We start from the raw sequence: 25,488 nt of genomic DNA on the forward strand, positions 1-25,488 counted from the left end.
CCGCCCTGGATGCTTAGCCCCCATCGGCCCAGCAGAAACCCTCGAAACCTTCATGCCTGCCTCCCCACCCAGATTAAGACTACAGATTACAGGAAGGTCATGCCACTTCACTTCTTGGCTAGGTTTCCTGAGCAGGGCCTTGGTGGCCCTGGGGTTCAGTGACTTCTAACTCTGGAGCCATGACCTCTGACCCTGTGGTTTGGTGGTCTCTGATCTTGGGGATCAGACACCTTGATCCGTCTTCAGCATCCTTAGGGCTCCCAGAGTGTTCCAACAATCGTCCACATAGCAAAGATGCCTTGGGAAGAGTATTCACTATCCCCAGGTTTCCAGGCAACCCTCAGGTGGGAGGCAGGATTGGACTGGCCTGAGGTGTAGACCTAGGGTTTTTGAGGGATAGCTATGGGAAGCCAGAATTTGGCTTAGCATGAATGTGACCTGTGTGACACAGCCATCTACAAGGGAAGCTTCTGGAGCAGACTGTCCCTGGGGGTGCTGCCACTCATCTGGATGTTGTTAAGGACCCACCAAGGTGACCTTGAAGGGCTCTGAAGTTGGGACTTCATTCCTTATGGCAAAGGTGAGAATTCCCTAGTGCCACACCACTGAGTGCAAGTGCCTCCATGCTTCAGGTCTCTGACATCTGCACACCAGCACCCCGGCAAGGAAAGGCTGGCCCTGGGGCCTGCCATAAGCTCCTGCCCCATTCCCTGCTGGCTCTCACCCCTCTGGGACTTCACCAAAGCTTGTCCCTGGAACTCTGGCACCTAGACTCCCAGACCCATTAGCATTTGAGCTGGTGAGTCAGCACACAGGCCTGCTGGCCCAGCACAGGGGCTGGGGCTATTTCAGGCCACTTGGCCCGCCCCAAAGGGCAAACAGATCCTCTAGGACCCTGGGTACTAAACTGCCAGGCAGTCACCTCCCACCCCCAGCAATCCTTTGATCCTTTACCTGCCTCACACCGGGTGCCTCTTGAGAGTGTCCCCACAGTTTAAAGGCCTTCTGGGGGAGGGACTTGGGGTTCACCTTGCTGTATTTAGCCCATCCTTTGAACTTCTTAGAGGCCCTGAAAAACGAATGCAGACTAAACAAACTCTCTAGAAACCCTCAGCCCTGCCCAGGAGGACTGGACAAAAAGCATGGGTGCTGATGGCTGGAATGGGGGCAGAAAAGCAGTTTGCTGGAACCGGAAACGGGGGGACACTGTAGGAAGTTCCTCAGGGTTAGAGGCAGCACTGGTGGGAGGGGACCACTGGGGCAGCCTGGCATCCTTGATCCCTGCCCACTCCCCACCTCAGTGAATCAAGAAACCAGGCAGCAAGGCTCTGGGGGCTGCTTTTATGGGGACGACCTGACAGAGGGCATGGTCCGTACAAAACCGGGAACAATACATACATATATATATTATATACAGAGATGCGGCCCTCCCGACGGCTGGGCAGGGGTGGCCGCTGGCCCAAGCAGCCCGAAGCGGCCCCGCCCACCCGGTTCCGCCCCCTCCATCTGCCGGGGTGAAGTGCGCGAGCCCAGGACTGAGACAGCCAGCTCCTTCAGGGGATGGGGGCACATCTGGGGATAGGAAGGGGTGGGGACAAGAAATACTGATCGAAGTCATGGTCTATTTACAGGGGACAAGAAGCCAAAACGGATGGGATGGGTGGTCTGTTTTTAAAAAATGAACAAAAACCCAGTTAGGGCAGGGGCATGAAGTGGCAAAATGAGATGGATTTTGAAAGGGGAGGGGACCTGGGGGAGGTGGTCTCACCTCCCTTGGTCCAAGCCCCAATTTGGGGTTAAAGTGGGGAAACAGAGTCGATTTCACTTAGAAGGCAGGCTGCCAGCAGGGCAGCCCTGGTCTCCAAAAAGATGAGTAGTAGTAAAATTTTGCCCTCCAGTCAAAACATTGGAAAACCAGTAGGGGGTGGGGGCGAGGCTGACTCCCTGCAATGTCAGTAGGCTTCCAGGCATCGCCCTGGGCTGGGCAGACAGGGCAGCACAGGATAGGACCTGACTCTCCAGGGAGAAATGTTCCCCTTGCCTAAGACCAGGGTCGCTGTAGCCAGACCCCCTTTCCTCCCTGGCATTCCCAGGCTTGACCAGGAAACCTGGACCCCAGAGAGGCCACATAACAGTTCCAAGACGAGGTTATGGCTATTTGGCACCTGGAAGAGGGGAGGCACAAGGAGAAATTGAGGGCTGCTGCCCCAGGCAATGGGGAGCTGGGGACCAGGTGTCCTGAACTCTCCCTTTTTCCCACTCTCACTCCCCCTTTTCCCGAAGGACACATGAGAAATCAGTGCAGGGCCAGGGCCAGGCCCAGCCTCCGGGCTCTGGGGTGGACTCTATCCCTCCCAGGACAGGGAACAGGGATGGGGGAGGTGTTGAGGCAACGCCCCCACCCCCCAGGCGGGAGGGTCAGAATGCAACAGAGACGGCACAATGATGGGGGGAGAGGGAAGGGCCGAGAAGGTAGAATCTCAAGTCAAGAGGCCCAGGGGCCACCCAGGTGCCCCATGGGCAGGGAGCAGCCCCCAGTTGGCAGATGCTGGGAGAGCCCCAGCCCCGTTCCAGTCCAGAGACAAAAGCTGGAGTGTGTAAAGTCTGGCAGTTTGATCTGCAGGTGCTTGTGTCCGTCGACCACCAGGCCAGCCCTCGGCAGCCCTCGGCCTCTGTGCCTCAGCCCCATGGGGCAAGAAAGAGGCTGCCCTTCTAGCCACCTCTGTCTGCCCAGGCCATCTTAAGGGGGCCTGTGATATGAGCCCTCTGGTCCCTGAAGCTGGGGGAGGTGGGGTGGAGGGGTGGGGGGAGTCGGGGCACCTGTCCCCAGGCTGGAAGGGGGAGGGGTGGGGTGTTGAGGACAGGGGAGGGAGGACAATGGGAGGGGGGTTAATTATTGTCCAGTCATGGAATGATTCCTGTTAAGTAGAATTGGAATTCCTCAGTGTTTGCAAGTTTCCTTCCAGTTCTGAGATCTGGAAAACAAAGGAGGGTAGGGGGTCAGGTCTGGACACCAGGCATGATCCCAGCCCCTTCCGCCCCCCGGTGAGGACATGGCATCCCCTCCCTCCAGGACCCACAGGGTAGGGGCTTCAATGCTGCTCCCTCCACTGGGCCCTGCCCACAGGGCGCCCCAGGCCCACCTTGTCCAGGAGCTTGTCCATCTCCTCCTTTCTGGCCAGCTCCGACTCCTCCAGAACCCGACGCTGTGCAGTCTCCTTTTTCAGGAACTCGATCTCCCTGGGCACAGGCAAGGGACAGATGGCAGGTAAGGGTGTGTGGTCTGGCTTTCATCCAGGGTGACCCAGGTCCTCAGCTTTACCTGGGCAACTCTGTCCTTCCCTGTTCTCAGGTCAGGAGGCCCCAGGTTTTCCCAAAGCCTCTGGGGGTCTGGCTCTGTGCTGGCTCTGATGCCTGGTCATTCCGGACCGGGTGTCCCCACCATGGGGCCCTCCAACTTCTGTGCCTCCCTACTCAGCTGGAGGGATGGGGAGGGACTGTCCCCAAAAGCCTCTCAATGCTCCCTGGGCCCAGCCCGCCCAGCCCCCAGCCACGTACTTCTGCTGGTAGTCCTTGATGAGGCGCTTGGCCTTGCTGTACTTGCGCTCCAGGGCCTGGTACTGCGCCTGAGTCTCCCGCAGGTGCTCGTCCACAGCCTGGCACAGGCTCTGGGCCTCACCCCAGTAGCCTTCCAGTTTCTCCATGCGCTCCTTGTTCTCCTCCACACTCTGCTCCAACTGCGCCTTCTCCACCCGCCAGCGCCCCTTCTCCTGCTCCAGGCTCTGCAGCTGAGAGAGAAAGGCACGGCCCTGGGTTGGTGGGGGCCAGCAGGAGCCAAAGGGTACCCCCATCCTAGCACTGGGGCCAGAGTCGCCAGGGGATTCCTACCGTTGTGGAGTCCATTGCACCCCAACTACTAACCCTCTTTGGCTGAGCCTGAGAACTGAAACCCAGAGAGGAAAGAAGTAGAGCTCAGCCTCAGAGCTCCCACCAGACTCCCTGTCACTGCACCCCACTCGCAGGGAGGCTGGAGGCTTCGGTTAGTCACTGATACTCTGACTTGGCGCAATGCAACTAATGTCCCAAGCCTCAGTTATCCCATCTGTAAAATGGCAGTGATATGTGCCTCCCAATCTCACAAAAGCTCCAGTGAGACAGTACATGTGAAGTAAAAGGGCAGATGAGGGTCACCATTACTCTCTGTCCCCTCTCTGCAGCCCCAGCCCTGCTCGCCAGTCTCTGCACTTGTGGCTTCCTGAACAATCCTGGTTCTCTCCCAGCTTCCAGGTGACCCCAGCGCAGACCTCCAGTCCCCCACAGCTCAGTTCCGGATCCTCTGTTCTCTCTATACTCACTGCCCTGGGGCACCGGCCCATCTCCCACACTACCTCTGTGCACTCTGAGCTGCAAATCTCAAGTCCCAGCCCACCCTTGCTCCCAACTCCCAGCTTTAGCTCCCAGCTCCTCCCAGGTACCATGCCCCAGACCAGGCCCCCGCAGCTGCACAAACCTATGCCTCCTTTCCTGACTTGCTCTGTTAAAAGGCGCCACAACCTCATAGCCATGTTGGCACTCAGTCTCAGGCCAGTATTTGCTGCAAACATCCCTTGCTCTCTGTCCCCCAGCCACACAGGCCTTCCTGCAGATCCTCAGACTTGCCACAGGGCCTTTACGTGTGCTGTCCCCTCTGCCTGGAATGTCCCCCATCTACCCTCCTGCTTGCCTAGTTATTTCCCTCTAGCTCACCCTTCAGCTCTCTGCTGTGTGTCACTTCTCCAAAAAAGCCCCCACAGCTCCCTCCAACAGCACAGCCCTACTCCCACCTCCACCCGAATCAGGTTCCTCCTGCTTTAGCAGCTCAGTAAGCCTGTTCTCTCCTACAGAGCCCCATGCCAGCGTGTGATGATGACACAGTCACTGGTTTGCAGATGCACAAGAACAACGATCAACTATGGCTTTGCCCATCATGGTGATGAGAACAATACTGGACATCTAGAAGGTACCCAGAGGATGTCTGTAAGTAGAATGCACTAACAGACCTTTGGCGTGCCCCTCCCTTTCATACTCTGCATACACCTCAGGAACATGGCCTGTCACTCTGACCCCGGAAATGCAGCGCTCACCTACCCTTCCTTTCCAGACCCTCTGCCTATACTCTGAGCAGTCCTGGCCTACCCCTGCCAGGACACTGTCTGGGCCCCTAACCAGTTTGCCTGCCTCCCAGCACTGCCCACTTTCATGCCCTCCCACTTTGTAGGCAGTGGCTTTCCGAAAAATCCCAATGGCCACATACCCCATGCTATCTGTAGGACCAAGGCCAGAGTCTTTAGAGGGGAGGCAGGATACTGCAAGCCAGAGCCCATCCTGGCAGTCCAGCCCTGCCTCCACCTCTCCCCGACAGGCATGCTGCCACCTCCTGACTGGCCTCCCCTCAAAGCCAGACTCCAAGCTCCATGGAGCTCCTCTCCCTGCCAGGAATGCCCCTGCTTCTGCCCCAGCCATCCAAACCCTGGCCTCCTCTCCTGCATACCCCCATGTGGGAGGGTACACACACTCCCATGTCTGCAAGACCCCTATAGATCTGTCTCTCCCCACCACGGCAGAAGCCCCATAGGTACTGGGACTCCTATAGTCTAGGTCCCAGCAGAGGCCCCATACAGACTTTTAATATGAAGTCTGTATATCTGCATGCCTGTGAGGGTGCTGGCACCTGACATGCTTGTGTAAGCATCTGTGTATACTACGTGTGTGTGTGTGTGTGTGTGTGTGTGTGTGTGTGTGTGTGTGCCACGTGTCTCCATCTGGGGTCGGCATCAGCACCTCTGTGTTACTTGCCCAGATGAGAATATGCATGCCCTGTGACACTCTTCCTAGACCAGGTGGTCTGATCGATGGCCATGCCTGTGTGTTTCAGAGCAGATGGGTGCAGAGTGGGTCTGCATATCCAGGCTGATAGCCTCGAGTGTAATGTGAAGCACAGGTCCATTGTCTCTGTGACTGTGTCTGTGTAGAGTGGGTGTCTCTATGTGTCTGGGTGAGGGGGTCTGTGGGTACTATGTGCCTGGGGCCAGGCTGCTGTGTCAGTGTGTGTACTTCTGGGTGGTCTGTACTTATCAATGGGCCTATATATAGCAGACATATGTGGGACAGCACAAACATAGAGACACCTAGAGCAGAACTTAGCATGCTTCGGTATCACAGCTAATATACTGACTTTTTTTTCTTTTGACACATGGTCTCATTCTGTTACTCAGGCTGGAGTGGAGTGCAGTGGCACAATCACGGCTCACTGCAGCCTCGACCTACCCTGGCCCAAATGATCGTCCCACCTCAGCCACCCAAGTAGCTGGGATCACTGGTGTGCGCTACCACACCTGGCTAATTTTTGTATTGTTTGTAGAGATAGGTTTTCGCCATGTTGCCCAGGCTGGTCTCTAACTCCTGGCTGAAGCAGTCTGCCTTGGCCTCCCAAAGTGCTGAGATTACAGGCATGAGCCACTGCGCTCAGCCTACTTTGACTTTTTATTGAGCTCCTATTATGTCACACATTGTGCTAAAGACTTGACGTGTGTTATCTCATTTAATCCCACAACGATCCTGTGGTGTTGGTGCTATTACGACCTCATTTTATAGATGAGGAGGCTGAGGCACAGAGAAGCAAGTGATGCTGGAGCAGATGGATCCAGAGCTTAAGCTCTTAATATCGTATCTATCATATCATCTTGCTTTAGAGCAGCTTGTTCTGTGGGTACCTGTGCCTAAGTGTCAGCATGTGCAGGTGTGAGGGTAGGGGGACCCTGCTCCTCAACACACACATGCACGCACGCAAAAGCACACACATACGCACCCTTACCTTTCTTTTCAGCTGCTGGATCTCTGCCTCAGTGACCGCATGCTTGATCTGGAGCTGTTGGGCAGAGGGGCAGGCACTCAGCTCCAGCAGGGTGGGGCAGGCAGTGCCAAGGGCAGGAGACCTGCCTGCCTTTCCCTCCACCACTCCAGGGAGCCCCTCCTCCCACCTCCTTGAACTTGTGCACCAGCTTCTCGGGCTCCATGTCCACAGGGGACAGTGCATCCTCGTTCTCCGCTAGCTCAAACACCTCGATGGCCATCTCACCACCCGGGAACGTGGGGCTCAGCTCCTCATCCTCGTCAGTGGCATACTCTCCCGTCTGCGAAGGGAGACCGGAGACTGTGGGCCCACCCCACCCAGCTGCCCTCAGCCCTGATGACCAGGGCTGGGACCAGTTGCCCATGCCAGACAGAGAGCTACCCAGGAATGTGGTTCATGCCTCCCACTTCAGCCTGAGGCTGGACCAGAGACACGGTTTATGTCTTCCCCCAACAGCCTGGTAGTCCCCTGATGACAGAGGGGGTCAGTTCCTCATCAGCCTGGGTCTCTGAAGAAACAGCCTGTACTATCTTTCCCCTTCTGGATCTATCTCCCTTTCAGATTAGGTCCCCCAAGATTAGGGGCTATGCTCTCCCCGCAGACTGGGGGCTCTTTGAGAGGACTGTGTATTCCTTGTCCGGCCTCTGAAGACAAAGAGTGTGACTGGAGGACAGGGAATGGCACTGTGGGCTTTTTACTAGGGCAGGGGAAGCAGTAGAGGCAGATGACTGTAATGCTTCATCTAGCCACCAGGGGGCGACCACGCGGCCAGCCAGGCAGGGACTCCCTACCTCCTCGTCATCCTCCCCATACTGGGCGTATCTCTGCTCCATCATCTCCCGCTGCCATCGCTCCTGTTCCAAAGTCTGCTGAATTAGCTGGGCCACTTCGCTCTGCTCTCCCGGCCGCTCCCGGCCAATCATAAACCTGCAGGGGCACCGGCATCATCCGCTGCCTCTGTCCTCAGCCAGGTAATGCATCATCCTCCCTGCTGATGCTCCCCTCTCCAAACTCAGGCCCTCCCAGGGGAGGAGAGATGAGAGGGCTGAGTCCGAAGGCTGCAGTGTTAATAATGAATGGGGGAATGAGGGCCCTTATCAGGTTTCCTTCCCAAGGGAGGCAGGAAGGCCCATTCACCCCTCTGGCCAGTATTGCGGGAGGGAGAATGTCAGCCCACCTCTAGGCTGTGCTGCAGGGGACATGCACTGAGGAGGCTCTTCCCCTGCCACAGGGGAGAAAATGAGGCAGGGAAAGGTGAAGATGACCCTCCCAGCAGGGATGGGCTGCGGAGGTGTTTCTTGGGTATGCTCCAAGCCCCTGAGCTTCAGGAAGGGGCGGGATGATGGCAACTGGAGATTAGGATGGAGAGGAAATAGTGGAACTTCCAGGCACCAGCCCCTCCTCCCGGTGGCCACCCACATCCTGTTTCTCTCCACCACCCTTTCCTGGGGGTAGTACCCCTCTTGCAGGGGGGCAGGGAGTGATCCCTGAATGTTAAGCCAAAGGTAGAGTGGACACAGGGAGCTTCTGATCCAGTCCCCTTGGTTACAGGCCTGGGGCGGAGTCTTCCCAGGATGACATAGGGCTGGTCGGGGTGGGGGGCATGAGGTCCCAATGAGGGGACCCCAATATGGTTAGCATTCACCCTGGACGTCCTGGTTCTTCAGTCAGTGAGTCAGGGACAGGTAGGGGGAAGGAGAAGAAGCCCTAGAGGACAGTTTGGAGGGCTGGTGGACAGTGGGCCAGGAAGGCTGAGTACTGGTGGCCAGCTGTTGCCAGGGAGCTGGGATGAGAAGGCAGGTGTGAGGCGAGGGACTCCAGGCACAGCAACTCCTGCAGCCAAGGAGTCAGCAGAACCTCTGTGAGCTGGGCCACCAGAACCTTAACTGGCTGTTAAGGCAGGTGAACGGAGTGCCTGGACGAGGACCTCCTGCCCGCTCCCACGCCCCACCCCTCTGGGCTCTCACCGCACTCGGCCCTTGGTGTTCCGGAGCACAGACGCCGCGAAGCTCTGGGTCACTCCCACCAGACTTGTTCCATCCACCTCCACCAGGAGATCATTCACCTGGATCCTAGCGGAGTGACATTGGTTAAGGGGTCACAGGGGAACCGAGGAGCGAGGGTAGAGGTAGCCTCCTCCCATCAGAAACTCCAGGCTCCCCAGCCTGAGTACATAGTGAGAACTCATCTCTACAAACAATAAAAAGAAAAATTAGCTGGGCATGGTGGCACGTGCCTGTAGTCCCAGTTACTTGGGAGGATGAAGTGGGAGGATCACTTGAGCCAGGGAGGTCAAGGCTGCAGTGAGCTGTGTTTGCGCCACTGCACTCCAGCCTGGGCAACAGAGTAAGACCCTGCCTCAAAAAAAAAAAAAAACAAAAAAAAACAAGAAAAGAAAACAACAACAAAAAACCTCACAGATACTTTGTCCTCACAGGGACCTGGTACTTTGTCTACCTGCGTAACATTCACAAGGCCAGAGGATTAAGTGTCAGCCAGGCCCACCTGTGTGGGCAGTGAGAGCCAGGCAAGCAAAGCAGACACAGGCGTCCAGGACCAGGAGACGCGGCAGGCACACTTCCTGTGACAATCACACTCTTGTCCCCTCCTTCATCATACTTGACTGAGCGGTGTGACATTCTCAGAGTTCATCTCTGCCATGCACACTGGCCAGGAGCCCCACAGCACACAAGTGACATGCCACCCTCTTACGTGTACATTTCTGCACAGAACTGAGTGCACAGATGTCCTCCCAAGTCCCCAAGACCGAATGGCACTCTCTCGAGTTCACACACTGTCCCACACACACCTGATACAGGTGCACCTGCCGACACACTCCAGTTGTGTCCCCTGAAGCCCGTGTTCTCCATACAAGGGGAGGTTCAGTCTGGCCTGCTGAGGGAGATGGAGGGTGGGGGGCCTCTCAGACACCTCCCTCCTCCACTCCACCTCCCTGGGAGCTCCAGGCCTTCTCTCAGGACTCCCACACGGAAATGGAGGAAATGGCCTATTGTCAACAGCTCACCCCAACACATGCCACTCCCAGGTGGGCATGAGTGAGTGGCCACGGCCACCATGCACACTCACTCCTTAGACAACCCACAGGCAACAATGGGAAAGGCTCTGGAAGTTCACATTGGGAGGGGAAGGGGTAAATGAAAGGGTATCCTGTTCCCGGCCCCTCTCCATGCCACCTGGGCCACAACAGGTAGAAGCCCCTTGACAGGGCAGCCCCATCTCTAGAAACAAGATCCCAAAGTCACCCAGATCCCAAAGGACACCTGCTCACCTCTGTCACATGGAGGGGGTCTGGGTTTGGAGGTACCACCACAAGAGATCCCCAATGTCACCTCTAACTTACAGCCACCCTGGGGGATGCCCTACAGCCCTTCCTACTGCCACTCCCCACACCCCTGGAATACACAGCTAACACAGGGGTCCCTGGCTGGCACACAGCTCCAGGATGCCCTCCCTGAACCTTCTGTCCCACAGAACTCACCCCTTGCAACCACAGATGCTCAATACAGGCACACACACTCACATGCGCAAAGACAGCCTGTCTCCAGAGCCACTGCCATCAATGGGTCTAGTCACAGCCTCCTGGCCCCTGCTCTCTATGCCCCAGCCACACCTGCCTGCTCATGGCGCCACTGCCTGGAACCTCTGCACTCACTCCCTCAGCACAGCTAACTCCTGCTCCAGCCTTAGCTCTCAGCTCCAGCACTGCTTCCTCCAGGAAGCCTTCCCTAATGCCCAGAGAGATTAAACCCTCCTGTTGTATGCCTTCACAGCAGTCTGCATTTCCCTCCATTTCACTACCTTTTGTGTGTCCATTTATTCAATGTCTACCTCACACCACACTGCACACTTCTCAAGTGCGCCAGGCCCTCACCATTGACTTCCCAGGGCCCAGCACCGGCCCAACACTGTCAGAGACTCAATGTCCAGCGAAAAAAAAGCTCAAATATACTCCATGCCTGTCTTCTCCCTACCAGGGCCCAAACTGTACTCCAGACCGGGATGCACAACACACGCCTATAGCCCCCATGGTCACCAGCCCCTCCTGGAGAACACACGCTCCTTCAGGGCATAGGGGCTGACAGTGCTCACTGTTGTATTTCTGGGGCCTGGAACAGCACCTGGCATGGCAGTGCTCCCCGAACATCTCAGCTGCACACACAGCACGGAAATCTCCCAGGGAAGGCCCGCCCCACCCCCTGCTCAGTGGCCCACCCCACCAAGGATGGCCGGTCGGAGAGGGAAAAAGGGTCAGGCGAGACTGGGGAGGATTGGTACCTGCCATCCCGATGGGCCGCACCACCCTCCGTCACGGTCTTGACGAAGATACCCAGCTTCTCCAGGCCCATGTCTGCCCCGGCGCCCATGCCGATGATGCTGATGCCCAGGCCCTCGGAGTCTGTGGAACAGAGAGTGGTGAGATGGCAGGGCTTGTAGGGGACAGACGAGAGACTCTCCACCCCGAATTCCAGGGCACAGCCCCCCCATCAGGAAGCAGTCCCCATTAGGGGATGTCCCACAACTGAAGAAGGGATATAGTTCTGTCCACCGTCTTTGCCAAGTCTACTAGGATGGCTCCTGAGCCGCTCCCTGCCCTTTGTCCCTTCCAAAGAACCAATGGGCAGAAGAGCGTGCCAAGGGTGGCACAGGCAGGTAAGACTGTTGCATATGCAGACCAGGGCGTGTGGCCAGGATGGGGGTAGCCAGGATGGGGGTAGCCAGGATGGGACTCAGCCCTAAGCCTTTGGTCTTCTCCCTCTCAGCCAGTCTCATCTGTACTCATAGCTTCAAGGACCAAAGACCTCCAGATTTTCTCTCCCCTGAGGTCCATTCCCCTATCCACACCTGCCCCTGCCTGACTCATGGCCCTCTGATGTCCCAACTAATGACCTTCCCCCACAAACACTCCCTCATGGGGGATGGTACCACCACCTGCCACCTGCCAGACCTGGGAGGCACCTGGATTCCTCCCTCCCACTCACAGCCTCCACCTGAGCCAAATGACCCCCAGATGCTATGGATTCTACCCCTGGAGATCTTTCCAGTCCACCCACACCCGCTCTGCCATCTTCCTGTCCACGCCACAGTGGCCTTTCTCCATCCACTTGTGACCCCCTCCCTACATCACAGCCTGGTGTGGTCTTTCTAGACCTTTCCTGTGCTTCGAAATGGCTCCCAATCCATCTTAGCAACAAGACCACGTGGTCTGCAAGGCCTCATTTGCATGCTCTTCTTGCCCTCCCTATGCAAATGCAGCCAAGCCCCTTTCCTGACTACTCCCCTAATTCCTCCTCACCAGAGTGCAACTCAAGCTTCACTTCCCTGGAGAATGCCCCCAAGCACAGTCTGGTTAGGTCACCTGTTAAACGCTTTTACAGTGGCCCCTCCTTACCTTCCCCAGCCCCTATTCCAGCGCCTAAGGGTGAGATTAGATGTGACTGTGCCTTCCATGTCTGCCTCCCCCATCCATCTCCCCAGGAGCCCACCACTGTGTCCCCAACACAGAGCCCAGGACCTAGCACACAGTACCCTACAGAGACCTGTTAACTGAATGTGCAAATGTGGTTCCATGACCGGGGTGGTGGGGGTGTGGCTTGGCCTGGGTTGGAGGCCCTGTTTGCTCTGGGTGCTGACAAGGGAGGAGCGGGGAAGGTCACCAAGGGCCTGAGTCAGAGGGAGAGGCCCAGCAAGTCTGTGGGAGCCCCTGAGGGCACAGGGCAGGAGCTGGTGCCAGAGATGAGACCCGGGTCAACCCCAGCTGTGCGCAAGTGACGTGGCCTCCTGGCCTCTCACCCTTCTCCAGCTCCACAGGGAACAGCTCCAACCTCTCCACACGCTTCTCCAGCTCGTACTCAGCAGAGGCTGCCATGGGATCCACATCCTCGTTGCGACGATCGTAATCCTCGTTGGAGTAAGTGCTGAACACCTGGGGAGGGAGGCAGCTGGTCAGAGAGGCCGGCAGGAGGACAAGTGCAGAACTGGCATGAGGAGGCCGAGGAGGCAGGCTGAGTTACCCACCCCATGCCTCCCCATGATAGCCCTGAGATGAGGCCTCACCCAGTCCCCTGAGACCCCAGCTCTGAGCAAAACAAAGGCCCTTATAGTTCTGGAGCCCAGGGTCAAGACAGAAAGGGACCCAGCCTTGGCAGACCCGCACTGCTATTCTCTCTGTAGCTCCAACCAGCGTGAGCATGGTCTGCCATAGGCACAGAAGGGGAATCCTGGAGAAACGTCCAACTCAGGAACCCAGACACCCAGATAGAGGGAAAGTGAGAGATAGGACCCAGAGAGCCAGACAGGCGAGAGGGGACACAAAGACAGACACAGAGAGGAAGGAACAGGCTGAGCAGAAGAGGGGAAGAGGAGGAGGGGAGAGAGGATGGAGAAGATGCTGGAGAATGCCAGATGGGGAGAGAGGGGGGAGCGGGTGTGAGACAGAAGAGGAGGAGGGGAGCAGGAGGGGTGGAAGGGGAGAGGTACCCAGGACTGGCTCTGACTTGCCGCTCAAGTGGATGTTGGAGCAGGGGAGGGAAGCAGGAAAGACCATCTCTATCCCCGTGGAGAAGAGGCAGGCCCTCCATCCCCAGGAGCCCCTCGGGTGGCAGAAGCAGGGGAAAAAGCTGGGCCTGGCCTTCCCTGCACACCCAGGCCGCTCTCCCTCCACAACTGCAGCTCTCTAAGTTACGCCCCCTGTCCATGTGCTAGGGGGCCCAGGAGACTGAGGAGGGGACAGCCTCTGACACTGCCCACAGCGAACCCAGGCGCCATGGGGCTCCGAGGCCACCCCTGCCTTGGCATCTCCTGTACCCCTCTGTTGTCTCTCTCCAATGTCTCTCAGCAAAAAGAGGAATTCCTCAGCTCTGACTCCCTCAGAAGGACAGAGAAGGTGGGGCTGGGCTCTGTGGGAATGTCTAATTCTGGGCCCAGGCAGGGGTGCCCCCAGTGGGAGGTTAATGAGCACCATTTGGGGTACCATGACATGCTCAAGCTTCATCGCCTGCAGTGACAGGTTGGCACCACTTGGAGCCAGGCGGGGGCGGGGAGGGATGGGGAACAGCTCTATCAGTTGGCTGAGTCTGAGCCCCGAGGAGTCAGACTAGGACCCCATCTCCCCCAAGGGCCCTTGTCAGGGCCCGTCTCCTCCAGGAGCAGACCTTGTGGGCACCCTGGTGGGCAGCAGCACTCTCGTGTCCCAGCCTTTGTCTGGGTTTGCTCCGTGTCGTCCCCACCCCCTACCAGAGAGGCTCACTGCCACAGTGGGAGAGGGAGGGGGTGCTCATAGGACTAGAAGGCTTAGGTGGGAGGGACCCCTCTGGTCACTTAGCTCAATGCCCTCAATTTCACAGCATCAGAGAAACTCTGGCTCCAGCCCTTAAAGCTCATCTGTCCATTGCACCCCTCGAACAAACAGGCTGCCTACCTTGCACATAGTCCAGGGCACCAGGCCCACTGCCCAAGGTCACATGGGTTAAACTGTGGCCAGGCAGAATGAGACTGCACCCAGCTGGGACAGGTGGGTGGGTCACCGGTGACTTGGTTTCCACTGCACACATGCCCCAGGCTCTGGGACAGGGCTGATGTGAGCCTGGACTCAGCAGTGGGATTTGGCCCACTTTGCACTGGAGTCCCCTGACTCTCACCCTCTGCTCTAGGAGACACGGTCCCTTCATCATTGAGTCTCTACAGTCTCCTGAGTCAACGAAACCCCTCCCTGACACACATGGACACACACGCCCGCTGTGACCTCCAAAACACACCTCACAGCCTGTCCTGGGCTGCACCCTGCCCTCTTCTCTCAGCCTATCAAATCCTGTTCCCTTTCTGGTCCTGCCGCCTGCAGGAATCCCAGGCCTGGGCTCAGAGGCCCCAGACCACCTCCTACCCCTCCTCGGGCTGCCCACCATGATATGCCGGTCTAGCAGAGGGCCCTAGGGGAGGTCCCACCTCCCTGAGGCCAAGCTGGAATTGGGTTCTCTGCCCTCAGCAGAGGCCTCCACCTCCAGAAGGGCAACAATTGGGTCATCCATGGGGACCGGGACCCTGGACTTGGCATCAAGGCAGGGGCAGGAAGAAGAAAAAGTGGGGCCCCTGTGCCAGGGTGGGGAGGAGGAAATCCCCAGTGAGGCTGAAAGCCAGCCACACTGGGCCCGCCACACACGCTGGCTCTCACACAGGGCGGGCCAGCTCCAAAGTCACCAGGGAGCCGGGAAGCACTGCTCCAAATCATGTGCTATTTTTTACTGAAAAATCAGGGTAAGGCGTCAAATATAGACAGTCAGAGGCCCAGACCAAACTCCAACTCTGAGGGAATCGGACTTCTCGCAAAATTAGTGGGGGTGGGGTGGGGGGATCCAAACTCTGCTTCAGAGTCCCAAGAAACACTACAGTCCCCCATTCCCTTCAGAACCCCACTGCCTTCAGGAGGGGAAAGGGGTTGGGAGAGGACCCCGCAGGTCCCAGCCCAGGGGAGAGGCTGGCCTGAGAGCCACTCACTTTTAACCTTTCAGGCCTCTTGCTGGGGTGGGAGGTGGGAGAGGGGCAGAGGCTGACATTCTGGGCGAGTGAGAGGAAAGTTGGGAAGCTTCAGAGTCCAGGAGTAGTTATGGAAACGACAAGCAAACAGATGGTGCTTTGGCTAGGGAAGGGTAAAGGCAGGGCAGGGTCCAGGCCAAGGAGAGTCCAGGGACCTGGACACTTCCATGGGGCGGACCTGGGGCCGGGTGCAGCTGAGCCTGGGGCGGTGAGGAAGAACCCTGCAGGCTGAATGTGCTAGCCAAGAGTGGAGGGTGGTGGGAAGTGGGGGGAGGGGTGGCCTGGGGTTTTTGATTCCCCCCAGGGGATGTTCCCTCCCCATCAGGGCTGTTCTGAGGATCTCAAAGCTCTGGCACAACCCACAAACCAACCACCAATAGTGGCCGTGGGGATGAGACCCCCAAAAGGGGCAGCTCCCATCCCTCTTTCAGGGCTCCCAGAGAATGTGGCAAGAACACTTGGGGCCTGCCAAGGCCATGGGAGTCTGTCCTATTGAGCAGCCAAGAGTAAAGGCATGCCCACTACTGCCAGGCACCCAGGGGGATCCCAGCCCCACCTCCTCCTCCTCCATGCCTGCAGAAGGCCTCTCCCCATCAAGGACCACACAAAGTGCCCCTCCCTGTGCAAGGAGGACCGGGCAGCTGGCCTGCAGGGACCCCCAGGGAACACGGCGCCAGCCAGTCACATGGCCACAGACCAGCTCACCCTCACGATCTGCTTCCCTCTTTCACTTCTGCAAAGTTGGGGTGGGGGTACAAACAGAATAGAGGAAGGGCTGCCTGCGGTCCCCTGCAGCTTCGTTTTGAGAAGTTCCTGGCTTTCCCCTTTCTCACCTCATCCAGCTCCCATACAGGGGGAAAGCACCCCGGCCCCCTCTCTACCCAGTGAAGGGCAAATGTCTCTCCTGAAGACACACACACCCCTTCACACTACCCAACCCCAGCCTCTGGCAGCCTCTGGAGGAAGGAATGTCCGGGTGAGGAAGGGAAAGCAGGTGTCCCAGGACCCGCGTGGGGCAGGGCGGGTTCCGCGGAGCGGCGGGGCGGGGCAGCAGGCGGAGGAACCTGAGGGCAGGTCGGGGCAGGCCACCCCCCTCGCACACCTGAAAATCCCTCTCTGACAAACAGCTGGAACTCCCCCACGCCCCCCTGAGGGTGGGAACTTCTGGGAAGGGGGCTGGGTGGCAGGGGCTGACTCAGCCTGCCAAACCCGGCTGGCTGGCTGGCGAGCGGGGGCGGCCGCGTGCACGTGGCAGGGGCGGCGCGGGGGCAGGGCGGGGGGGCTCACTTACTTGGATGGGCGCCGTGCTGAAATGGATCTTCCGGCTCGGGGCTGGGTCCTCCTCCTCCGACAGCCCCGGGATCTCCACGCACCCCGACTCGGGCTCGTAGGGGGGCTCCCCATCCTCCTCGTCGTCTTCGTCGTCCTCCTCCAGGGCACTGCCCGCAGAGTCCTCCCCGAGCCCACTGTAGGCGCTCACGTCCACCAAGTCCGCCTCCGAGAAGTCCTCCTTCTTGGATTCATCTACCTCCTCAGGGGCCACGTCCGGGGCCCGGCCATTGCCCACCCCCCTCTCTGGCGGCGCTACCGCCGCCGCCTCCTTCTCCGGGGCCGCTTGGGCCTTTGGCTCCTCGGGCGCGGGGCTGGCTGCAGTTGCCACGGTGCTGCCATTCTCCAGGGCCGCGTGGACCGTAACCTCGGCCTGGATCACCTCCCCGGGCGCCGACTCGGCCTCCGACTCCCCGCTCTCCTCCACCTCCACCGGCTTAATCTTGCGCACCTCCCGGGGCTTGGGGGGCGGCCGGGCAGGGGCCACTCGGTGCTGCGGGGGCTGCTGCCCTGCGGGGCATCGCTCTTTCTCGGCCGGGGCATCCCCCGACGGGGCGGGCGGCGGCGGCGGCGGGGGCTGGAACACCCGGGACCGCTTGCTGACCAGCTTCGAGTTGACCTGGGGAACCCCTGCGGCCCTGGGGAGCCCGGGCCCGCGGTGGAGGCCGGTCCTCGAGTCGGCCTTCTCGAAGACGGCGCTGAGCTGGCTGACCGTGGGGGACACGGCGTCAGCGTCCAGCTTGTCCAGCGCCTCGGTGCTGCCGTTGAAGCGCACCACGACGTCCAGCTTCCGGTCCTGCAGGCCGGCGCGCTCCTGCCTCAGCAGCCGCCGCGCCGCGGCCTCCTTGTCGCCGCCTGCGGCCGCTGGGGCGCTCCGTTCGAACAGCTTCCGCGTCTCCTGCAGCCGGGACGGCGGGTGCGGCGGCGGCGCAGGCTGCGCGGAGGGCGCGGGCTTGGAGTCGAAGCGGCTCACGCGCTCCGACACGCTGGTGCCCAGCTTCAGCAGGGCGCTGTGGTCCACGTTCTCGTTCAGGCTGCTGGCCCGCGGCAGCGACAGGCGCACGCCGCGCTCGGACGCCCGTGGGGCCTCGGCCAGGCCCGCGCCGCCGCCCGCCTCGCCCGAGGGCCCCGCCGTCGTGCCCATCTGCAGGAACATACTTTTGATGCGGTGGACGTTGGAGCCATATTTCTTGTGGTGGGCCCCCTTGGGTGCCTCGTCGGGCCCGGGCGCGTCGGGCGGCTTCAGCGCCTGGATGCCCGCCTCGTAGGCGCTGCGGTGCGGGGAGGCGCTCCGGAGGGGACCCCCGGGCCCCCGTGGCTCCGTCTTCATCATGGTGGGGGGAGCCGGGTTCGCATGCCCCTGCTCCCCGCTCCCCCGCTTCAACAGGCGGCTGGCCAAGTCGGGACCACCGCCCCCTCCCCCCGATAAAAGAAACCCCGAAGGCCTTTTTTAGGGTCCCCCCAAAACCAAGCTGCCAAAAACAGTTAATCCCGCTTTAAAAAAAAAAATGAAAAAAAAAAAATCTCCAAGCGCCCTGTGTGTGGGTCGCCTCCCCCAATCAAGCTGCCGAAGACAGCCAGCCCCGCTTCAAAAGCCCGAGCGGCCTGGTACGGTCGCCCCCACCCAAATTAGCAAAGCGGCGTCTGGGGCCGGTGGGAGCGCGCGCCCTGCCCGCGAAGCAGCCGCGGTGTCGCCGGCTCACATCGTCCGAGACGGTGTCAGCGGGGCTGGCAGCCCGGGCGTCCCCCAGTCCGGCCGGAGGCCTCGGCTCTCGGGGGGCCCGGCACCCCAACGCCCATGGCTGCTCCGCCGGCCCGGGCCGCTCCGCCGCCGCGCCTCCCTCCCTCCCTCCCTCCCCCCCGTGCCCCGAGCCTCGGTCTTTCTCTGGCTTTGCCCGAGCGGCGGCTGCCGGAGACCGAGCGGCTGCCCTTCTCGCAGCCGCCGCTGGGGGACTGGCACCTCTGGGTCCTAAAGGGATCGGATTTCCGGGGCCGGAGCCTGTGAGCCCTCCCCTTCCCCTCCACCCGAACGGATCCCCTCCCCTCCCCAGCCCTCGCGGAGAGCCTTCCGCTGCCCCCGGACGTTGGCCAGCACTCTTCAACCTGCTTCCATCACAACTTCTGACTGCGGTCACAACCCACAGAACCGCACCTCCATGAAATATTGGGGGGAGGCAGTACATCCACGATGGTCTCAGTGTGAGGGGAGGGGGTTTGTAGGGAGGGGCAGAGGTTCATTCTTCAGTGTCCTCGGAGCTAGCTCTTCGGTGTGCTTCAAGCCTTTAGCATCAGAATCGCTGGGCACTTGGTAAAAATGCAGATTTCTGGGATCTCTCTCGAACCTTGTGAAGGAGAATCTCCGAGGCTGAACCCAGGAATCTGCATTTTAACACTTCACTACAGGCAATCTTTGGCCCCCTTGGAGGTGTGAAACCTTGGTCCAGCGCTGGTGACCTTTCGATGGTGGGGGAGGGGTGGTGAAGAAAGGAGGTGAACCCCGTCATCCAAGTAGCAGGGGATCACCAAAACTGCCGAAGTCTGGAAAGGATGTCCTGTCGCCTGTCTGCTGTGCACCCGTCTTCAGGCCCCTACCCTGGCACTCCTGCCTCTCAAACCGGAAGGAAGGGTTTGGGAGCAGGAATTCGAGAGGCCTGGGGCCAAAGTTTCGCCAGTGAGAGCTCTAACTTGGGTCTCTGATTTAAAGGATCCTGGCCACTGTGTTCCGGTTGGGGTGGGGGGGTGGGGAGGGTGACAGTGACTTACACATCCCCTGTCCTGGCAACCCAGAAAGCTGTTTGATGCCCTCTGCACCCCCCGCATACACAGCTAGGGTGCTGGCGCTGCCTGGGCCCTGGGTGTGAGAGTCCGCCCTCTGGACAGGTCCAGGTGAGCTGGTTCATTCCACACATCCCAGAAACTGGTGAACACAATGGGCCCTAGGACCCAGAGAACAACTCAGGCACAAAGCCTCCCCCCACTCCCAGCTGCTTCCTGCATCTCAGGCCTTTCTGCGGCCTCTGCCTCCTCCCCCGCCCTCTTCCCCTCCATCCTCTTCCTCCTTTTCCTAATCTCCCACTCTCTCCCCCCTGGCCTGGAAGGGCTGGCAAAGGGAGCCCTCCTACCACTCCACTGCAGGGGTGTGTGTGGGTTTTGTGGGATATTAACGCGTTACCATGTGCAAAAGAGCTTAGAGTACAGCGTGGGGGATGGGGTGTGGGGAAGCCGCCTGGGAACCCTGGATATTGGGATCGGGAGGGGCCAGGAACCGCAGGACTGATCCTGAGGCTGGTGCTAAGGAAGAGGGAAGATCTAGGTTGTGAGCTAGAGCCGGAAGTGAACCCAGACCTCACACTTTCCAAATGCCACCTGCATCTTTGCCCAGTTGCCCAGGAAACTTACCCCTCCCCAGTTTTGCACTTTGGGATGGTGCAGGGTGAAGAAGTCTGTCTCCTAACCCTTCTTAGAAGGCCTCTGTCAGGAGCAAGCTTTGGGACTTAGATTTCCAAACTCAAGATTGGGTCTTGAAAACCCCTCCCCACAGGCCCCCCAACCCCAATATAGAAGTCCGGAGAAGACAGAAACCTCACCCAGTTGGGGTTTGGAAGTTTGTACAATGTACTCAGAAGCTCTTGTGTGGATTGGAGGAGGGCGCAGGCCCCTGTGTTCTGCCCAGAATCTCCCACACCCTTGGTGGTAGATCATCTTAACTGGTCCCAGCCCAAGGGGTCTGTGCCCACGCGTCTGGCCAGGTGGGGAAGCCCCCAGTTTCTGAGGGTGGGAGAAGGAGCTGAGAACCAGCTACCAGGCCCAGAGACCCTCGGACTCCCAGCATTTCCGGTAGCAGCTTAGAGCAAACTGGAATTACAGGGGTGCTCTTGGGTCTCCCTTGTCCAAAGGATTATGAATCTCCGGACAAACCCCTTTAACAGACCCTTCTAGGGGGTTTGGGCTTCAAGAGGGTGGAGCTAGCCAGAGCTTGGGGGACTGAGGCTAATCAGTGGGATTATTATTTCATGGGCTCCTGGTTAGCAGAGCAACACCCTGGCCAGAATTCCCAAAGACGCTTTTATGGAGCGGTAAGTGCTTCACCATCACTTGTTCTCTGGTGTCAGGCACCAAGCCGGCTGGCCTGTGAGATGGGTGAAGAATGGGGTCTCATTCCCTCCATCCCTTCTCTGCCTGTCTGGAGCAGTAATCGCACCTGATAGGAACAAGGAGGGTTTGGGAGGGTTACCATCCAAACTGAAGGCTTTAAATAGAATTTTCATTCATTGGGCTGTCATCTTCACCTACATCCTCCAGTGAGGAAGCACTCCAGGATAATTTAACCACCCTTTCTCTTTCCTTTGTCTTCATGGAAGAGACTTTGATGGCCAAGTTGCCCAGTGGTCTTTGGATGGAAGTTCCTTCCTTACCTTTGCCTTGGCATAGAGTGGTTGACCTAGGAGCCAGGCTGCTAGGGTTCAAATCTTGGCTTCACTGCTTACTGGCTGTGTGACCTTGGACAAGTCACTTATCCTCCTCTGTGCCCTGGGAGGATGAAAGAAGGCCCAGAAAGGACGAGAGTGGCTCGGACACAGAAGATAGGGTGTGGGGGAGGAGACGCCTTTCCCAGCCTGTGCTAAAAAGGCCAGAGGCTGCGATAGGCAGAGATAATTCACCCCCAACTCTCCTCCTGGTAACCGCCCCCCTGCCACAGCTTTCCCACACCCCCCCAAATCTGCTTAGGGCCCTTGGGAAGATGCTCTGTTAGGACTCTTCCCCAAGGCTTGCTAGTTTTAAACACCAGGTGTAACTGCAAAGATAGTGATGAAGGCAGGGAGAGGCCTGACGAGCGATAAGTCCCGAGCCCTCAGCGCCCTGGGCGCAGGCCCGGGCTGGGTGCCAAGGCTGGCTTCTCTTTCCAGCCCTGGGGCCTTGAGACTCAGCTTCTAAAAGCGGTTTTTCCTTGGCCACGGTCATCTAAGCAGAGGCTGGCCCAGACCCTGCACTTGGATCCTTTTGTGGTGAGCCAGTGGTCCCCACCCAGTTGCTCTCCTTCAAGAGTTGACCTCTGCCAGGGATTTGGGCTGGTTATAGGATGCTGGAAAGGTATGCTGGAAAGGTGTGTGTACACCTCAAATCCAGGATGTCAGTGTTGGAGGGGCCTTTAGTGGCCCTTGGCTGACCTCTTCACAGGGAGAATGACGAAAGCTGAGAAGTGACATACCTAGTTTTAAAGGAAACAGACCAGGCTAGGGTTCATGAGGCCTGAATTGAGTCCTAGCTGCACTCATTTGCTGGATGACCGTGGGCTAGTCGTGTCCCCTCCCAAAGCCTGTTTCCTCAAAAAGCTTAGCTTGAGTGTCTGAGTGTTTCCTGAGCATAGATAACCCTAGGTGTCCCTCACTTTTGTGCATGCAGCACAGGCCTTGAAGCCAGGCCATCTCTGTTAGAATCTCCAACCTCCCACTCCCCAGCTAAGGGGCTTCAACAAATTCCTTCATCTATAAGATGAAGATAATATACCAACTTCATAGAGTTTTTGTGAGGAATAAATGGGTCCTCAATGCATAAGGCACTAAAAGGGGGCTCAGAGTGTTGGCTGTTACTGATTGCAGGGTATCCAAGCACATGTGGGGGTGTGTGCCTGCATGCACATGTGGGCAGGTGTGGCTGAGAATGAAACTCGGTGTTTGCATCTCTCTGTGTGTCTTCACAGGACTTTGGGGCTCTCATTTTCTTTAAGGTTCAATATGTGAAATTCTGAAATATAAACACCCCTTGCTTACAGCTTCTCCAAATCTTTGGGGGTCATTCTTGGGATGACCTCTCTTCTCTACTTCCCAAAGGGTTTTTCACTCCTGCCTGTGGGTGCCTCAAGCCCCTCATTGTCCCTGCAGGGAGAGGGGTCCCTTAGGGTCCTCTCACAGCTAGGAGACTGCCTTGCTGCTGGTTCCCTCTGCTGTACCCAGTTTCTTTCTATCACTCTCCACACTTGCTCCAGTGGCTCTTGGAAAGTTCAGATACATCTTGGAGACTAGGGAGGGAGACTTGGTAGGAGGAGTCAGGGTGTGTGTGTGTGTTGGGGGGCGGGGGAAGGGGTTGGACAGAGGAAAGATTTCTCCAAATCATCAGTTGCTTTAAAAGAAAGCCTATATTTAGCTGGGCTTAGAGGGCCTGTAAATATGTATTTTGCAAGGCAGACAGCCCGTAGCTGTGGGAGCTCCAGAGATATGCAGGGAGGTCAAAGAAAAAAAAAATAATCAGAAAGATTAGGCAATATATTTTGTCATCAGCAGATTCAAAAAACTCTACTGCCTGCTCTCACTGCTAATAATACACATTTCTGTGTTTCGATGGTTCCTATGTTTCATCTGCCCTCCAGATCTTGTGCAGTGGGTGCCTGAGAAGGAGACTGGCTCTCGGAGACACCTTTTCCTGCCAGCCTTTGCCTCATCTGCCCTGGGTCAGAGGAAACAGCATCCCACCATCTCCATCCCCACTAGCCCGCCAGGCTCTGCCTGGCGCAGGTACAGCCTCCAGAACACCAGCTCTCAGGTCTCCCACGCTCAGTGCCCAGCACGCAGGTGGCTTTGGGGTGAGGTGTGGGGTGAGAAATCCTGCACTTCAGGGCAGTTCTACTTCAGAGACCTCTTTTTTCCTACAAAAATGTTCATTAATTGTTTTTTTACTTTTACTTTGAAAAGTTTCTTTAACAGTAAGAGGCCTTCAAAGAATCATGTGACAGAATTTACAAATGCTAGCAATGTGTCATTTTTGCTTTGGGTTTTTACATATAAAAGAGAATATTTGGCCGGCCCGGTGACTCACACCACCCAGTGCCATAATCCCAGCACTTTGGAAGGCCGAGGAGGGCGGATCACGAGGTCAGGAGATCGAGACCATCCTGGCTAACAGTGAAACCCTGTCTCTACTAAAAATACACAAAAAAATTAGCTGGGCATGGTGGCAGGTGCCTGTAGTCCCAGCTACTCGGGAGGCTGAGGCAGGAGAATGGCGAGAACCCGGCAGGCGGAGCTTGCAGTGAGCCGAGATCGTGCCATTGCACTACAGCCTGGGCAACAAGAGCAAAACTCCGTCTCAAAAAAAAGTATATATATATATTTGAGCCCCCTTTTCTTTCTCCCCAGTTCCATTGTCCACCTCCCCCAACACTCACACATTTGGAATACAGCTTTTCTAGACCATAATTTTTGCATTACTATATTTTAATTGTAGCAGACTAGAGATATAAAATTCACCATTTTGGCCAGGCGCAGTGGCTCACGTCTGTAATCCCAGCACTTTGGGAGGCCGAGGCGGGCAGATCACGAGGTCAGGAGATCAAGACCATCCTGGCTGACACGGTGAAACCCCATCTCTACTAAAAATACAAGAAAAATTAGCCGGGCATGGTGGCGGGCGCCTGTAGTCCCAGCTACTCGGGAGGCTGAGGCAGGAGAATGGCTTGAACCTGGGAGGTGGAGCTTGCAGTGAGCTGAGATCGCGCCACTGCACTCCAGTCTGGGCGACAGAGCGAGACTCTGTCTCAAAAATAAACAAATAAATAAATAAAATAAAATTCACCATTCAGTGTGTACAGGTCACTGGCATTAAGTACAATCACCTTGTTGTGGAGCCATCACCACCATCTATCTCTAGAACTTACTTTCATCTTCCAGAGCTAAAACTCCATACCCATATAAGTCCCCATTCCCCTCTTCTGCCTCCCAGGTTCAAGCAATTCTTCTGCCTCAGCCTCCTGAGTAGCTAGTATTACAGGCCCGCACCACCATGCCAGGCTAATTTTTGTATTTTTAGTAGAGGCGGGGGTTTTACCATGTTGGCCAGGCTGGTCTCGAACTCCTGACCTCAGGTAATCTGCCCGCCTCAGCCTCCCAGAGTGCTGGGATTACAGGCATGAGCCACTGTGCCTGGTCTAGAATTATGTATTTTAAAAATGTATGTAACAAAGGCAGGTACAGTGGCTCATGCCTATAATCCCAGCACTTTGGGAGGCTGAGGCAGGAGGATCACTTGAGGCCAGGATTTCAAGCCCAGCCTGGGCAACACGGCAAGACCCTGTCTCTACAAAAAAATAAAAAATTAGCCAGATGTGGTGGTGCACCTATAGTCCTGACTACTCAGGAGACTGAAGTGGGAGAATCACTTGAGCCCAGGAGTTCCAGGCTGCAGTGAGCTATGACTGTGCTTCTGCACTCCAGCCTGGGTGACAGAGCAAGACCCTGAAAAAAAAAAAAAATTATGCAATGGCCATCATACTATGTGGATCATTTTTCCAGTCAACATGTTTTTTTCACAATGTAGCCACATTTGTTCATTTGATTTGTTCATTTTAACTTCTGTTTATTATTTTATCAGAAGAATAAGCCACAATATATTTATCAATTGGGTGTTTAGGTTGTCTCTATGTTTTGTTATTATTGCTATTTATTTATTTTTGAGATGGAGTCTCGCTCTGTCGCTCAGGCTGGAGTACAATGGCACAATCTTGGCTCACTGCAACCTCCGCCTCCCAGGTTCAAGCGATTCTCCTACCTCAGCCTCCCGAGTAGCAGGGATTACAGGCACATGCCACTGCGCCTGGCTAATTTTTGTATTTTTAGCAGAGACAGGGTTTCACCATGTTGGCCAGACTGGTCTCAAACTCCTGAGCTCAAGTGATCTGCCTGCCTCAGCTTCCCAAAGTGCTGGGATTACAGGCATGAGCCATT

General features: G+C 57.3%; 1 protein-coding gene and 1 long non-coding RNA gene across 2 annotated transcripts in view, besides 12 other annotated features; one reads left to right on the forward strand and one right to left on the reverse strand.

Annotated features, from left to right (window-relative positions):
• Window positions 1-743: an enhancer, noted in NCBI's record as "H3K27ac-H3K4me1 hESC enhancer chr17:48209774-48210516 (GRCh37/hg19 assembly coordinates)". NCBI's record gives its function as "activates a minimal SCP1, AML or CMV promoter by ChIP-STARR-seq in primed H9 embryonic stem cells {active_cell/tissue: H9 hESC(primed)}" and the evidence as "EXISTENCE:reporter gene assay evidence [ECO:0000049][PMID:30033119]".
• Window positions 624-693: an enhancer, noted in NCBI's record as "active region_12378". NCBI's record gives its function as "activates an Ori minimal core promoter by ATAC-STARR-seq in GM12878 lymphoblastoid cells {active_cell/tissue: GM12878}" and the evidence as "EXISTENCE:reporter gene assay evidence [ECO:0000049][PMID:35858748]".
• Window positions 744-1,485: an enhancer, noted in NCBI's record as "H3K27ac-H3K4me1 hESC enhancer chr17:48210517-48211258 (GRCh37/hg19 assembly coordinates)". NCBI's record gives its function as "activates a minimal SCP1, AML or CMV promoter by ChIP-STARR-seq in primed H9 embryonic stem cells {active_cell/tissue: H9 hESC(primed)}" and the evidence as "EXISTENCE:reporter gene assay evidence [ECO:0000049][PMID:30033119]".
• PPP1R9B (protein phosphatase 1 regulatory subunit 9B) lies at window positions 1,328-18,268 on the reverse strand. The gene is made up of 10 exons (NM_032595.5): window positions 16,734-18,268; window positions 12,704-12,836; window positions 11,189-11,309; window positions 8,860-8,964; window positions 7,684-7,819; window positions 7,020-7,172; window positions 6,854-6,907; window positions 3,559-3,788; window positions 3,144-3,240; window positions 1,328-2,975 (listed from the first exon to the last, which is right to left on the reverse strand). The coding sequence occupies exons 1-10, from the start codon at window positions 18,102-18,104 to the stop codon at window positions 2,922-2,924; spliced, it is 2,454 nt and encodes an 817-aa protein (NP_115984.3). The 5' UTR covers window positions 18,105-18,268; the 3' UTR covers window positions 1,328-2,921.
• Window positions 13,878-14,548: an enhancer, noted in NCBI's record as "H3K4me1 hESC enhancer chr17:48223652-48224322 (GRCh37/hg19 assembly coordinates)". NCBI's record gives its function as "activates a minimal SCP1, AML or CMV promoter by ChIP-STARR-seq in primed H9 embryonic stem cells {active_cell/tissue: H9 hESC(primed)}" and the evidence as "EXISTENCE:reporter gene assay evidence [ECO:0000049][PMID:30033119]".
• Window positions 14,549-15,217: an enhancer, noted in NCBI's record as "H3K4me1 hESC enhancer chr17:48224323-48224991 (GRCh37/hg19 assembly coordinates)". NCBI's record gives its function as "activates a minimal SCP1, AML or CMV promoter by ChIP-STARR-seq in primed H9 embryonic stem cells {active_cell/tissue: H9 hESC(primed)}" and the evidence as "EXISTENCE:reporter gene assay evidence [ECO:0000049][PMID:30033119]".
• Window positions 15,850-15,919: an enhancer, noted in NCBI's record as "active region_12379". NCBI's record gives its function as "activates an Ori minimal core promoter by ATAC-STARR-seq in GM12878 lymphoblastoid cells {active_cell/tissue: GM12878}" and the evidence as "EXISTENCE:reporter gene assay evidence [ECO:0000049][PMID:35858748]".
• LOC124904025 (uncharacterized) overlaps window positions 16,326-25,488 on the forward strand; it is an 11,623-nt gene continuing 2,460 nt past the window's right edge. The window contains exon 1 of the long non-coding RNA XR_007065841.1: window positions 16,326-16,418. This is a non-coding gene — a long non-coding RNA (uncharacterized LOC124904025). The remainder of the gene's footprint in view (window positions 16,419-25,488) is intronic.
• Window positions 16,650-16,769: a silencer, noted in NCBI's record as "silent region_8683". NCBI's record gives its function as "represses an Ori minimal core promoter by ATAC-STARR-seq in GM12878 lymphoblastoid cells {active_cell/tissue: GM12878}" and the evidence as "EXISTENCE:reporter gene assay evidence [ECO:0000049][PMID:35858748]".
• Window positions 17,620-17,729: a silencer, noted in NCBI's record as "silent region_8684". NCBI's record gives its function as "represses an Ori minimal core promoter by ATAC-STARR-seq in GM12878 lymphoblastoid cells {active_cell/tissue: GM12878}" and the evidence as "EXISTENCE:reporter gene assay evidence [ECO:0000049][PMID:35858748]".
• Window positions 18,379-18,468: a silencer, noted in NCBI's record as "silent region_8685". NCBI's record gives its function as "represses an Ori minimal core promoter by ATAC-STARR-seq in GM12878 lymphoblastoid cells {active_cell/tissue: GM12878}" and the evidence as "EXISTENCE:reporter gene assay evidence [ECO:0000049][PMID:35858748]".
• Window positions 18,539-18,628: a silencer, noted in NCBI's record as "silent region_8686". NCBI's record gives its function as "represses an Ori minimal core promoter by ATAC-STARR-seq in GM12878 lymphoblastoid cells {active_cell/tissue: GM12878}" and the evidence as "EXISTENCE:reporter gene assay evidence [ECO:0000049][PMID:35858748]".
• Window positions 18,639-18,933: an enhancer, noted in NCBI's record as "tiled region #5931; HepG2 Activating DNase unmatched - State 1:Tss, and K562 Activating DNase unmatched - State 1:Tss". NCBI's record gives its function as "activates a minimal TATA promoter and a strong SV40 promoter by Sharpr-MPRA in HepG2 and K562 cells {active_cell/tissue: HepG2 | K562}" and the evidence as "EXISTENCE:reporter gene assay evidence [ECO:0000049][PMID:27701403]".
• Window positions 21,151-22,187: a transcriptional cis regulatory region, noted in NCBI's record as "candidate enhancer chr17.3603 targeted for multiplex CRISPR interference". NCBI's record gives its function as "positively regulates PPP1R9B gene expression with high confidence in K562 cells {active_cell/tissue: K562}" and the evidence as "EXISTENCE:mutant phenotype evidence [ECO:0000015][PMID:30612741]".

This window comes from Homo sapiens, chromosome 17, assembly GCF_000001405.40.
Source record: "Homo sapiens chromosome 17, GRCh38.p14 Primary Assembly".
Taxonomy (NCBI): Eukaryota; Metazoa; Chordata; class Mammalia; order Primates; family Hominidae; genus Homo; species Homo sapiens.